Below are 15,794 nucleotides of genomic sequence, written 5' to 3'. Positions count from 1 at the left end.
TCCCTCTTGAGAATGTCCTATTTGAATATTCTCTCTTTTCCCAAGTTTTTTCTTTGCACATCTAAAGTGTTGTCACCTTTTCCTGATACCATGAAGGTTCTTTTTGGCCTAAACTTTTTCCCTCTGATCTCTCTCAGTTGAATTCTAATTGGGAAACATTTCCTTTTTATGCAGTAATAATTCATTATAGGAAAGAAACAAAATATAGAACTGCTTGCAATGCCAGTGAAACTGTGCATGTGACTCTACAATGAATTTAAGTCTAATGTTAAAATTTGATGTAAGTGTTCAATTAATGAGGCATAAAACTAAAATGTGATTTGAAATAGAACGGTTTAGTGCTATTAAGGCCATAGACTGTTGGGCCAGACTTTAATTCTTAATACTAATGCTGAATTTGGCTAGTCATAGGTAGGATTAGCTAGATAACTATTGCAATTATAATGGTTCCCATTAAGTTTAAGATTTCTTCTAATTCTTAAACATTAGCTTATAGAGCATGCATGATGATTATGTTTATTGACCTTCTTTTTCTCCTTTTTCCTACATGGCCAAGAAACCATACTTATATAACTAATCATTAAAGTGTATCATACTGTCTTAACAATATTATCAATAGATCTAGTGGTCATTTTATTTACTTTGCCTTTTTGCAAATCTTTCTATGTTTTCACTCTGCAGGAAATGGTGGTCCTTTAATGTTGGATTAACTTTTGAATGCATTTGTTTTTTCTATCTGCAGTATATCATTCCTTGAAATATCTAGGCATTTATAAAGCTTAAACTTTATTGTAATCTGATTTGACTTTAGATAAAATTGGAGGGTATATATATTATTTCTTATGAGCTCTTGAAAATCCCACACAAAATGACACATTTTAGGAATATGTAAAGGCAATCATAATTTTTTTTTCAATCATTATTGAATTATAGTGACTCTTAGGTCTCTTTATTGCATTTGTATCTGTGTATATATTAACTGTTACTGGTACATTGAATGTGTTTCAGTATATTTGTCTGTAGTCTACTCTTGGTTATCTACATGAACAAAACGGAGAAGAGGTGTAGACATCTCAATATCACTCATGTTTGAACTTAAAATATATCCTTTTACTAAAAAATATAATCTGAATGCAGATGTGGTTAGCAATTTGGAAAGTCACTTCAAAATTAATGATGTGGCATTATAAAAATAACTTGGGACCCTGTTTTGTCTTCCAGTGTTTAACTTTTCTCAAATTCTGCCAAAACTTCACTTTCTGTGAATACATCACTGTTTTCTGGTTTTCTTTTATCAATTGTATTATATCACAGGGTAAGCGAGTTCAGACACATTTCTTAAATTAGGGACTAATCAAAGGGTTAAGTTTCAAAGCTCTTTCTTGCTACATGTAAAATAAGACTAACTGGTAGAAATCCAGGAACTAAGAGGGAAAGTCAGTGTTATCAATAGAGAAAACAGTCTGCATATATCTATGTATAAACACATACACACATACAACTCATAGTGTGATATTGTAAACTTATATGTATTACTCATATATATAACTGCCAATAATTACATTCAAGTCAGGAGTGGAGAACATATGCTATAGCTAAAAGGAAATAGGCTGGAAGCCAGACTAACGCAGTTTCAAATTTCAAATCTAACACTCATTTCGTATCTGTGCCACTTTTGGCAAATTATTTACTCTTTTTCTTTATATGGTGGATAATGATATACATTGTGTGCTAAAATGAATGAGTTACTATGTGCAAAGTGCTCGGCATATAGTAAACTTGTGATTGGTGTTACTTCTCTCCTTCTTTGTCCAATCACTACTCATGTTTCACGTAGAAGGACAGGCAGCAAAATTAGCATAGCTCTATCATTTACCCTAGTTACAATTATGGATCTAATTTCCTAGGCCCGCTCTAATGCCTCTGTGTTGGTAGACAGGAATAGTAATAACTTCTCATGCAGGCATTTTTTTTTTTTTGGTGCATCCTGTAGATGTCACTATCCCTGGAAGTCCACGGTTTGGGTTTATAAGAAAGCATGAGGAAAGGCCAGAGTTCTTGTGTTTAGGAGCTCTCCTGCCAAATGAAACTCGTGAGAGTTTCAGTTATTTCATTTGCTTTTCCCAAAGATTAAATCTGTTAAACTAATTTCAAATTAATTTTCTGGAAAAAAATAAAATTGTCTCTTTTTTTAAAAAAATGCTTTTAATATGAATGGAATATTCCTTTCCAGAGATATGCTGTAGAATAGTAACATATTCATGTAGAATCTCTACAGCCTTACTCCGAACATTAATAAAGAAAATATTTATACTATCATATCTAGGACACTTAACCTTAAAACCCTAGTTAGCATTATTTTTTGCCTAGTTCTTTTTATAAATATCTATTGGTTCACTGTCTCTATTGCTAAATAGAATATTCTAACTTGCACCAGTTTCTGCTAGTTTGTCATGTAAAAATTCCCAGAATTTTTGTCAACTTATAATGGGACTAATTAACCAAATTTGCAGCCATATGGTGTGGAAAAGTAGCACTAAAGTCAAACTCAAGAATTCTGAACAATTCATGTAGCCTCTTTGTGCATAGGCCACAATTCACTCACATATATGATATAATTCTGTAGTCTAAGACAGAGTTTGTAGAGTTTGCAGATCTTAACAGTATTGAAATAGGGGTTTATCTACATACCTTTTTGATTCATGCCAGGAAGTCTTTGGTCTCAAGCACATTTTCCTTCTGTGTCATAGTGCCTCAAGTTTTACAATTAGAACTCAATCTATTTGGGTTAAACCATTGACCCCTGTATTTTTATATAAAATTCAAATATCATTAGGCAAGAGAAGGTGGAGAATCAATTAAGCTGCCAGCAGTCATTGATACCTTATATGATCATTTAACATACTTGTTTCTGTCTCTCATCTCTAGCTAAATTTAACTTAAGTCAGGAGTGAGATAGAAAGAAAATGTGAGTTATTGGCATAGAGCAATCTATTGACCTCCCAGTTAGCATAGGACCTGTCTGATTTTTTTTTTTTTTTGAGACAGTTTTGCTCTTATTGCCCACACTGGAGTGAAATGGCATGATCTCAGCTCACTGCAACCTCCACCTCCCGAGTTCAAGTGATTCTCCTGCCTCAGCCTCCCAAATTGCTGGAATTACAGGCATTCACCACTATGGCTGGTTAATTTTTTTGTATTTTAAGTAGAGATGGGGTTTCACCATGTTGGTCAGGCTGGTCTCAAACTCCTGACGTCAGGTGATCCGCCTGCCTTGGCCTCCCAAAGTGCTGGGATTACAAGCATGAGCCATCGCATCAAGCCTTGATTCTTATATGAGTCCTAATGTGGCATCACACCTAATAGCGTTTGGTATGTGTTTGACAGTTAGAAGTTAAGAAGCATGTCATCAAGATGAGGAAGAAGTCTCAGCAAACTCCACAGAAAAATCTTTATTTTCAAAAAAAGGGGAACTATGTCTATTCAAAATATTTAAAAATGTTGGAGTATATTTTGAAATAAATGAATATCATTAAATGAAAAACTGAGAATTACATACATTTCTTAGAAAAAAATACTCTCTAGGCACAATTCACTCATAGAATATAAAAATACTGTGTGTTTGAGTCTCTTTCACTTCTTTTTACTATTATGAATTTTTCCCTTTCTTGCCACGGATCTTAGTGCAAGTATAGATTGTCTTTGAAGCAGAGGGGCTAAGAAAATCTCTATCAGGCTTAGAACTTAATTTCATTTCTGTAGCCAAATGCTTTAATGTAGAAAGAAAATTAAGGCAAAATAACACAACAGACAAATATAGGTTCCTGCCTTTTTAATACAGATGCATTGTTTTTTCCCCATTTTATTATTACAAACTAGAGTACCTTAAATAAGCTGCTGTTCTGGATGTCTAACAGAGATAGAAAAACTTTAAATGAACTATTCCAAGTTCAAATTTTTGGTAAACTTTGTCCAGTATTGAACTCATTAATAATTTACACTGTTACACAATAAATTTGTGATCTAGAATTGTATTTTATAGCTAGTTTACCTTAGAGAGTTTATCAGTATAAAATAGCACTCAAATGTAGATATTTTACAGATAATTTTGTTAGGTTATTTTGCTTTATGTCTCTCTATATAAATATAAAATATCTAGATATATCTATAGCTATCTATAGATAAATAGATCTATGTCTTTCTATATCTATATAGACATATATGTATCCATCTATCTCTCTATATATACATATATATCTATTAGATATATAGATACATATCTATATATACATATGTAGGTATATCTCTCTGTATCTATATAGATATAAATATAGAAAGATGTAGATCTATCTCTCTATATATATTCTCATATATATATAGAGAACCATATATATATATATATATATATATATATGGTTATCACATATATAATGATATCTCATTTGAGGTAGAATATAAACACATTACTTTTCACATTGGTTTATTTATCAGTTACACACATACACACACACCCCATATCCACACAAACATATATAGGTTTTACACAAGTGATTTCTAAATATTAGCTACAGCTACTGAATATTATTCAGATTATTGTCAGATGTGTACAACATCTCAGAAGGAAACAGTTAAAAATAATTCAGCATGATAATTAAATTTATTAACTAGCAATCCTAAAACAAAAGAATAGCTTACTGCCATTCATTAAAATTGAATTATATATCTCATATAGGTGTAGTTGCTCACCGCAGTGGCCAGAGTAATACTGCAAATCTGTTAAGATTCAGAAGCTGTCTTCTTGGTAGTGGAGACAAAAAAAAAAAAAAGACGTAAGAGCTTATCCAAAGAAGTTTATCATCAGCTAGTGTCACACACCACATCATCAATAATTTTTATATTAAATTATAATATCCCAGTGAATATTCTTTGAAATATAATTTACCTTTTGGAGAAACTTCATTAGTTGTTTATGACAGCCTAGTAAATTACTACTTTAGTGCTCCCTAGTGGTGAAAAGGAGCCAATGCGGCTTTAAAAAGTAGCTGGTTAATGCCTCCTAGTGGGTGATTCTCACTCAGATCGAGAGGTTTGTTTTCCTTGCTACTCTGATAGTGTAAAAAAAAATAAAATGACCAAATTTCTTAAAGTGCCTGCATGTATGCACCTGTATAAATAACTATATAGGTAATGAATTTGCAATGAGTATAATAGCAAGGAGATGTAAGACATGGGAGACTGGCATGAGATTGTGGAGACAGAATGGTCCAGCTTTGATGCCAACTAGACTTGAGTTTAAATCTTGATAGTGTAAGTTCTACATGTGTGATGTTGGCATGTTATTATTTTGTAGGGTTGTTTTTAGGGCCATAAATAATATAGGTAAAGTTTTAACATAATAATTGCTTCAAACACTATAGATATTATAATAATGTGACTAGAAAGATGGTTTTTTTCTTTTAATATGGAGTTGTTTTTGGGGTAACAGATGTTCTAAATTGCTTTTTTCCCCCTCTTAATCAGGTAATGAAAAGCTTACTTCTTTTTTTGTGTCTACTATTCTCCTTAGTGACCTATGGATAACACCCACCCATGTCTTCATTTATGATTTTCTCATAAATTTGAGAATATTATTAACTAGCTTTATGAGCAGCAGACTTAGTTGTCTTATGATAAGTAAAGAACCAGCTTTTACCTATTTTTATCCATCTATCTCTTCTGCTCCCCATTTCCCCCTCCACCCTCATTTTCCTGGGAATGTCCTCTCAGAGTGAACACTTTCCTCAGCTGAATTTAGTTCTTTGGTTACGGGTGAATTCTGAAAGAAACTGAGTCAGTAACCTAGTTGCTCTTCTGAGAATTTGGAATTTGGAACAGGAAATTTCTATCTTTCTGTGCTTTTTCTTATCAATAGATAATACATAGACGTGATATATTTGGTCAGATATATTCATTAGTGTCTAATTATTTACATAGTCTAAAGTGTTATCTCTCAATTGGGCTATATAGGCCTTAGGGGCAGACAGGTGGCATTGTCCCAAGTACTCCAGGCCTTTTGATATCCCATAATATGTTAACTTTCAGCACCACCAAACCCCAGATACTGTAATAACCAAAATGCCTTCTTGTTCTCTATTTGCAAAAGTCACCTAGTGAGAACAGTAAACACTCCCAGTTGAGAGACATTTTATAAAGGAAACCACATAGCCAGTTCTCTCCTTGGTACCTTTGAAAAATGTGTTTCTTATTTGCCAGTTGTTTAGCAATTCAATAATTCAGACAACTGATTCTGCAACCATAGTGCACTGTCGTCATCTCACAGACTCTGCACTTTGCCTCTTGCATAAATACATGAACGATATGCAAATTACTGGAGTCCCTAACAGAATGAAGTGAAATCTTCGCCGTCTTTCTCTGTCTCCCTAAGATGGCTAATTATTGCCTGCTTTGAGTGGCTACAGCAACTGTATTCTTGGATATGTGTTCAAAAAGAAATGCTTGCTCCCCACAGACCAGCAGTGTGTAAGAAAGGTAAACTTTAACAAGGGGAGTTGCAACAGAAGTCTAGGAGGTTTTGAACATGCCAATGAACTCTAGACCAGAAAAGTGGCATTCTTTGTGGTTCTCCCCTAGGGCCCAAGGGAAATATAAATGTATCATATTACACATACTCTTCAGGAAAAATCAAGACAGGAAGAGGTTTTCCACACTCCCATGTAAGTACTTGTGTCTTTTAATGTAATTCTTCATGTCACAAGTAATTCTATAAACAATGACTTTGCTGAGTTATCTTATTTAATGCAATATTTAGGAATTCTCTTTATTTTATGAATAGTGAACATGTATGAAAAAGATCTTTTTCATTGCCCATCTACTTATTTTTTCATCTAATATAAGAATTCTCTGTTATGACAATCTTTTCCTTAGCAGCCAAATATTCAATCATAAGAAATAACAGCTGAATGTGGTGGCACATGCCTGTGATCTCAGTGCTTTGAAAATTAATTATAATTTAACATAAACCACTTTCTATTTTCTGCTTGATTAACTTCAGTCTACTAATGTATACTGATATAGTACCAAATTCATCTGATGGTGCCCTAGAATGCTGCTACCTGTATATGTTTTCCTCCTCTAGTTTCTTTATATCATATGGTGAAATGCTTTGCCTTCTTTTAAGCTGTTTTTGCCTCTGGTCTAGCACTTGTACCATTTCCCTATCTTTGGAGAATACTGACTTCCTACCTCTGTAGCACATTCACTTTTCATTTCTTTTACTCTGTGTTGAATGCATTTGCCTCAAATCTCCAAATTGTTTTTATCCGTCTGAAAAACTGACTTGAACTATCTAAAAATACTCCTGCCTGCTTTATACCTTCTTCAGATTTGCCTACTTTTATTGTAAATTTGACCACATACTCATCAAATTCTCAGCACCACAAAATAACTTTGGATGGACAGAGTGCATTCCTCTGCTTTAGAACAGTGTTTTTTTATTAGATGTCATAATCCATTTATGACTCATCAAGTTAATTTAGTGGGCTGTGATCACTTTTAAAAATGAAATAGAGAAGAGAATAGAAATGATCAGTTTGATTTTATGAGTGTGTATATGTGCTAGCTTATGATGTAAAATGTATGTATACCTGTGCTGTCGATATAGAATGTTGGAAAGCCTTGCTTTAAATAGGCACTATGATTTCAAGCTGCCTGCAGACTCTCCAATAATTGCTTCCACCTACCCTATCACTTCTGCTTTTGGTATATCCTTAGATTTTCCTGACATAACAATTTTTTCCAAAGTTAAAATTACCTTCAGACTCAAGCCAATATTTTCATTCATATTAGATAAATATAGTCTTTAAGGCTGCTAGATTTAACACACACAGGATAACCAGTTATATTTGAATTTCAGATAAACAATAGTTTGTAATACGTTTGGCTCCAATATTGTATGTTTATCTAGAATTCAAACTGAACTAGGTGTCTTATATTTTATCTAGCAAACTTAATCCTATTTAAAAATCAGGCCGGGCGCGGTGGCTTAAGCCTGTAATCCCAGCACTTTGGGAGGCCGAGGCGGGTGGATCACGAGGTCAGGAGATCCAGACCATCCTGGCTAACACTGTGAAACCCCGTCTCTACTAAAAGTACAAAAAAATTAGCCAGGCGTGGTGGCGGGCGCCTGTAGTCCTAGCTACTGGGGAGGCTGAGGCAGGAGAATGGCGTGAACCCAGGAAGTGGAGCTGGCAGTGAGCCGAGATCGCGCCACTGCACTCCAGCGTGGGCGACAGAGCGAGACTCCTTTTCAAAAAAATAAAAATAAAAAAAATAACCCAGATACTCCTGACTGGGCTAGATCACCCATCTCAACTAGGTAAAAAAGGGAAGGGTAGATGAACGGGTGGGAAGACTGAGGGAGAACATGATCAGAGAAGAAGGGAGAAAAAGAAAATGTGGGCAGTGCTTTTCTACAAATGGTGCATTGGAGTAATGCTAATATTGCCTGAGTCATGGCAAAACAAGCAGTACTGCAGGATTGATAGGAACTCAAAGAAAACATAAGAATCCTCCACCAGGGAGTATGGGGATTTGGGGGTGATTGTGCAAATCTGGCAGTTTCCTGGTTTTGCTATTGGAAACATCATTTAGGCACAGGAATTCTTCTGGTCTTTAACAGGCATTCAAAGGTCAGATAGATACTCTATCTATAGATAGATAAGTAGTTAGGATTCCGAAGCAAAAATTTTTGAGAGATACAGTGATTACAAATTTGTTTAGGCAGGCCAGTATGTCTGTCTTTTGTCTAACTGATTGTTGCTAGACAAGAACTTTTTATCTGAGAGTTTTCTTTTTGAGTCCTGATTAAAGCCTTTTTCAGAGTTGCTTTGAAACTAATCAAATAACTACCAATAGATAATTCCAATAATTTGATATATCCAGGCACATTAATGCTGTAGAACCATATTGAGTAGTATTCAGGGGTAATTATGGTGCCTATGCATTCAATAGATATTTGCTGAATAAATAAATATGTAGTTGAAAATGTCTTTATCTTTGCAAGACTGTTTCCTTACACATCTCTGCAAATTAATTATTTCCTCTGCAGTAGTACAATGATGTACACTGCTAATCCTTTTTCATGGACAAATGGGTTAAAATATATTTTAATAGAAAAGAAAATTATTGTCTGAGCATTTCAATTTTATAACACATCTAGAAAACTATCAAAGTCATAGCTAATGTAAGTTATCACATTATATTCCACTTGGGCTCAAATGTGACAGTGATTGCATACCTTGTAAAGTCCTAAATGCAAAGATATTCAATATATAAAACAGAAAAAGACAGATGTTCCTTGAATTGAAGATATGCATAGAGCCTAGATTTATTTTCCTCAGATAGAGGCCGCTCTGGAGTTTGGTGTTCTATATGTTTATGAATCAGGACACACAGGCTTTTAATAACATTTGGATTTATAGGCTCTGTTCAATTTAATTTCAATTTTATGTTTTACAAATAAATTTTCTATATCTTAATTTAGTTACATATATTGCAGAGGGTTTGTGATACAAATTTTCTCAAATCTAGTAAGATAAAAAAATTTCACTAGGAGATTATTTCTAATTTATTCTTTATCCATGATCTGCAGGATATTGATAAGAGAAAATGTCAGAAGTTTGGCCTTAAGGGCAAATTCTTTTAGGTACATACAGTTTGATATTTGCCAAAAACTATGGTGTCCATATAATTATTCTAGTTAAATAAAGCCATTATTGCTATTCTCTAAATTCATTTTAAAAACAAAAGGTGGAGAAAGGTGATTTTAAAAATTTGTGTGATTATATTAATTATTGTTTGCTCTAAAGTTCAGTATCTGAAAAGGAGCACAATATACCAAAGCACCAAGTTACATTTTCAAACTACTGATATTTAGGAACACTCATCATTTTTTTATTACACTAGTGAATTTAGGTTAAAATTGTATAATTTTGGTTGATAAATCTTTTGATTAGCTTATTTTTGTTTGCTTGCTTTATAAAGTGATTGTTACTACTCATGATTTGCCAACGTTATGTGATGGCTTTATTTCAGCTCGCACATTAGCTTCAAATCTTAGACCAAGAATGGCTTCTCTGCTGGCGAATTTCTTACAATTAGATGTCTTGTTCCTTTAGGAAGAGGCAGTTATTTACATTCCTCTCCTAAATTCTATTAAAAATGGAAGTCCAACGCATTTACTGACTGGCTGCTAAAATATTACAGCATTGTCACAAAGCCATCATTTTAGTCCTCAGTTTTGCTGGAATGGAACAGATGGCCTGTTAATTTTTTCCAGGCGGAGCTCTGTGTTGTTACTCCATAGTCTGACTTGTTCTTGAGAAACTTTGTAACCTGAGACAAGGTACAGAGTGCTTGACTGACCCTTGTATTCAGAAAGGTCACCCCAAACTAGTTAGAGCATTTTACACTTATAAAGAACTTCACACCAGGGAGCATTATAAACATTTTAGAATAATTAACCTATGCTGTGAGGTTAATATCCCAGCTCTTTATGGATGAAACAGTCTCTATCTTTTTTCAATACTGATAACTAGGAGTGGCTGTAAAACAGTGGTTAAAGTGATAGGCTTTGAAACCACAATAGCAGGTGAGTCCTGTCTCTTGTACATAATTGGCAAAATACACAACCTCTCTGAAGCTTAGCTCCCTCATCTGTTACACAGAGATCATGATAGTGATCATGGTAATCTATTCGTGGGACTGTTGTGAGGATTAAATGATGAAACTCATGTAAAGTTCTGATTCAGCATAATCCATTTACTAAGTACTCAATTAATGGAAAACAATCAGACATAGATTGCTTGGTGACATTTTCGTCCATGTAATGCAGCCAAAACTAGTAATTGTCATGTAATTAACGAGAATCTTAATTTTGAGGATTGCAAATTCTCTACCATTTCAGGAACCAGAGGTTTGCAGGTTTATATATAATACAAACTGAATAGTTAGAAACCCTTTTTATTGAATAACTTAGAAATGAAACATTGTTGCAATTAGAGAGGAAGGATACTTGGGACTGAGAAAAGAAGACATGGTCAAATTCTCCATGTTTTAAAATTATTTTCCGTTATTTTTTTCTCTTAATTTGCACTATTTTATGGCTTGAGTTAAGGAGATAAACTTACGTTACATACTTATGATACACAGTCTGAAAAAATAGAGCAAAACAACAATTTGTTATTAAATTTTTTTGATTAATTAACTTCTTCAATTTTTCTAACTTTATGTTACTTCAGATCCAAGTTGGAAAGGTCATTTATTTCTGAAGACTCTGATACTAAAAAAGAAAATGTGAAAAAACTTTAGTATTATATATTATTGAATTTACAAGATGAGTTTTGCAAATTAGATTGCTTGTGATTGCTTTTAAAATTTCAGATTTTTGGATAACTTATAAGTTTACCTTAACTGCATTGTGTTAAAGGCGAAGGCTAGTAATACTCAGGAATGGCCAGTATTTGGCTTTATAGTTGTAGGGCTTCTTAAAGTACCATTTTTTTCTTCCGAAAAGCAGAACATTGGCAAGTAGACAAGTATATTTGTCCGTGGGATTTTCAGTAAGGTATTCCCAAGAGTTTGCTTGTTTTTTTTTATAACCCACAGATGGAAGATAGGAAACCATGCCCTTTATAGAACTTGATCATTGAGCTTTCTGCAGGTGGATAAGTTTGTCACTGGATCACTAATGTTGTGCTGTTATTGCTCCAGAGGCTGATTTTATTGTTCAGTCCATCAAAAGAGGCTGTGGTTAAATTACTTTTATATGGAAGTATTGCTATACTTTTTGGATGGTAGAGGTCATTTCTACTTCTAATTTATGGAAATAATTTAATCTATTATTTTCTGTTTTACTGATGAATTCCAGTCCTAAAGGACTTAGACTGTAATATTTACACTGAAAACACTATCCATGTTTCCCAATACTCAAATGAATTAAGGCCTTTACAAGTGGTAAGTTATGAAAAATGTACCTTGTGCCAAATTCCCCCACTCCACAACCGTAGATAATTCTGAAATGGCCTCATTGTCTGGGGTGACACTGAAATTCTTTGTCTCACTGCCAAGGAAATCAAGAACGTGGACACACCAAGGGTGAGATTAGAGCAGAAATTTAATAAGCAAAGTAAAGAGAACAGCTCTCTGCTGCAGAGAGAAGTCCCCGAAAAAGGGTTACCGTTCTTCAGGGAAATGCAAGGGTTTTTATAAGCAAGTTACTGGGGAGGGAGTATTTCATCTACATAGGGCGTAAAAAACCTATTAGGACTAGGTGTGTCATTTGCATAGGGTGTGACACTCTGGCAGTCCCCACCCCAACCTTTTATTGCCCAGGCAGGTCTTTAGCCTAAGTTATTCCATGTTGCTTATCTTTTCCCCACTGTGCATGTGCTAAGGGGGAGGGGGGTGGGCAAAAATTTAAAAATTAGTTGTGCATGGTAGATTGTGTCTGTAGTCCAGCTAGTCAAGGAGGCTGAGGCAGGAGGCTTGCTTGAGCCCATGACTTTGAGGTTGCAGGGAGCTATTATTATGCTACTCCACTCCAGCTTGGGTGACGTGCCTGGCCATGGTGGATGTGACTGGCCCAAGGTAGTTCTTTCGATTGGTGCAGCTGCATGCACCACCTTCATGCAAGCTTCCAGCTTCCTTACTGGTGTATGTCCAAAAAAGGAAAGGAATGTGCTCACTAGGGCCCACAGTGCTTACTGGGACCCACTGTATGCATGTGAAACTTGCTAATTACACAGGAGACTCCATCTTTGTGCTCGAACTTGCTTCCTTATCTATGTCTGCAGCCTGATCTTCCAGGCTGCTCTTTGTTAGAGCAGAAATTCTGCCGAGGACTCTTTGCCCTATTTTCCTAGCTAGTTTCTTCCTTCCTTCTCTCTCAATTCAAGGTTAAAAAATAATAACAATAACAAATCTTTCCCATGACTCAAGTTGAAGATAGTTTAACAAACACTGAATTTTTCTGTGATGACATTTTGATACTTTGGGTTTCTTGAAATTTTTTTTTTTTGTCTGCTTTCCCTGGGCCCTTAGCATTTGTCTTGTCTGTTGGATAAGCCACCCATGGTCCATTAAATTTACAGAAATAGACCAGTATTTGGGAAATCCTTGTTTGACTTCCAGCATTTTACTTTGCCCTCTGCTGTGTAACAACGACAATTCATTTCATCTCTTTACAGCAGTCAACCAATTTATCAAAAAGTTACTGGAAAATCTGTTTTAACCATTTGCTAAAATAATGGTAGTAAAACCACAGTGAAAAGTATAACATTATATAAGCATAAGAAAACAAATCTAGATTCCTAGAAAACAACATTTGTAAGAAATAAATTTCCCATAATTATTTACTTGATAAATAATGTTAGGTCATTAGTTTTAAGGTTCAATGTGGCCGTGTTCCAGTTCATCCTTAACATGTTTGTTTCTGTTGTGAGCAATATATTTAATATGTGGTTTGTCACATGGAAGTTGTGATTTTTTTAGTGCTTAGTTAAGAGAGATCAAGACTAACATCCATTCTATTTTGTGTCTTATCACTATCAAGGGACAGTGTTTCTGTGTTCATAAACAAATTCTAAGGAAATACTCTATCTTTCTGAAATATAAAAATATTTTTAAGAATACATTTTCAAGTGAAACATGTTCTCACCAATATTCTAGAAAATGTTCTGTACTGTATATTCAAAATCCAATTTCCATCTAGAAGCAGAATATTCACATTGGAAAACTGGGTCCAAGACATTTATGACATTTATGAATGATTATAGTATTTTACATAGTTAATTGTAATATTAGTAGAATAGTATTTTTAGTATCTGAATCAAAATCTTTTTAAATTTCTGTTCCTTCTAGGTTTTATTTGCAACTGCTATTACATATTGCGAGAAAGATATTAGGACTTTGATAAATGGGCTACCTTGAGGGACATGTCCCTGAGTTTTATCACCATTTATGAACATCTATTTAAAATTGATTTAACATTTCAAACATTAATTCCCAGCAAATGAGAACAGGCCTTTCATTAGGGTAAGAGTCATAGAGGTACTTAACATAGGCCTCAAGTTGGAAGAGGATTGGCACATAGGCTTTCAATGCTGTCTCTGAATTAGGTTAAATAAAGATGCCCACAGAATCAAATGGCAGTATTTCATCATAAAAGTTTAATTATGAAATGTAATTATTCAAATATACCATAATTTAAGAATTTTCCAAAGACAGGACACTGTTTTAATTTTTTTTTTTTAAGAGGCACTGTCTCACCCTGCTACCCAGGCTGGAGTGCAGTAGCATAATAATAGCTCCCTGCAACATCAAAGTCATGGGCTCAAGTGAGCCTCCTGCTTCAGCCTCCTTGACCAGCTGAGACTACAGGCACACACTACCATGCACAACTAATTTTTAAAATTTTATATAGAGATAGGATCTATGTTGGCTGGGTTGTCACGAACTCCTAGTCTCAAGTGATCCTCTAGCCTCAGCCTGTCAAATTGTTGGGATTACAGGTGTGAGCCACCATGCTAAGAACTTCAGTAATGAAGCTTGTCTAGGATATTTTCCTTTTTTGCTAGCTTTATTGAGGCATACTTGGTAAATGAAAATTGTAGCCAGGTGCAGTTGCTCATGCCTGTAATCCCAGAGCTCTGGGACACCAAGATGGGAGGATTGCTGGAGGCTAGGAGTTCAAGACCAGACTGGGCAACATGATGAGACCCCATCTTCACCAAACAAAACAAAACAAAACAAAAAAAGTTGGGCTTAGTGGTCCGCACCTGTAGTCCTAGCTAATTGGGAGGCTGAGGCAGGAGGATCGATCACTTGAGCCCAGGACTTTGAGTCTACAGTGAGCTGTGATTGCAGCCTGGGCAATAGAAAGAGACCCTGTGACCCTGTCTTGAGAAACAGATTTTATATATGTTAGGTGTACAACGTGTTTTCATACACATATACATTGTGAAATTATTACCGCAATCAAGCTAATTAGCATGTCCATCACCTCATATAGTAACCATTTGTGGGTACATGTGGTAACACTTGAGATTTACTCTATTAATGAATTTTAAGCATACATTACAGAATTATCTACGGTTACTATGCTATACATTTGATCTCTAGAACTTACTCATACTACATGATGGAAACTTTGTACCCTTTGACCAATATCTCCTCATTTTCCTCACCCTCCAGCCACTGGAACCACCATTGTATTCTACTCTCAGCTTCTATGAGTTTGACTTTTTCAATTTCCACTTACAGGTGAGATTATGCTTGTCTTTCTGTGTCAGGCTTATTTCACTTACCATAATAATCTCCAGGTTCATACATGTTGTTGCAAATGACAGGATTTCCTTCTTTTTTGGGGATGAATAATATTTCATTATGTATGTGTAGTGACATGAAATATATATGTATATATACACATATAAAATTAAATATTGATATATATTTTATATCATGTTTTCTTTATCCATTCATCAGTAGACACTTATATTGTCCCCATATCTTTTTTTTTTGGGGGGGGACAGTCTCACTCTGTCACCCAGGCTAGAGTGCAGTGGCACAATCTTGGCTCACTTCAAACTCTGCCTCCCGGGTTCAAGTGATTCTCCTGTCTCATCTTCCCAAGTAGCAGGGATTACAGGTACCTGCCATCACACCTGGCCAATTTTCATAATTTTAGTAGAGATAAGGTTTCATCATGTTGGCCAGGCTGGTCTCGAACTCCTGACCTC

At 34.9% G+C, this 15,794-nt stretch overlaps 1 protein-coding gene across 30 annotated transcripts in view; it reads left to right on the top strand.

Annotated features, from left to right (window-relative positions):
• NOL4 (nucleolar protein 4) overlaps positions 1 to 15,794 on the top strand; it is a 373,814-nt gene that overhangs the window by 96,967 nt on the left and 261,053 nt on the right. For 3 of the 30 annotated variants that reach the window (NM_001384468.1, NM_001384467.1, NM_001384471.1), the window contains exon 3: positions 15,250 to 15,318. The exons of 23 other annotated variants lie outside the window; for them this stretch is intronic. In NM_001384468.1, coding sequence (NP_001371397.1) covers positions 15,250 to 15,318 — 69 coding nt within the window. Of the gene's footprint in view, positions 1 to 6,246; positions 6,714 to 14,909; positions 15,319 to 15,794 lie in introns of those variants that run through there. 4 more of the 30 variants (XM_017026058.3, XM_047437905.1, XM_011526239.4 and 1 more) reach the window with 4 other exon arrangements.

The sequence above is a fragment of the Homo sapiens genome, chromosome 18 (assembly GCF_000001405.40).
Source record: "Homo sapiens chromosome 18, GRCh38.p14 Primary Assembly".
NCBI classification, from domain to species: domain Eukaryota; kingdom Metazoa; phylum Chordata; class Mammalia; order Primates; family Hominidae; genus Homo; species Homo sapiens.
Note: the sequence above shows the minus strand (reverse complement) of the source record. Positions and strands in the feature narration are given on the sequence as shown.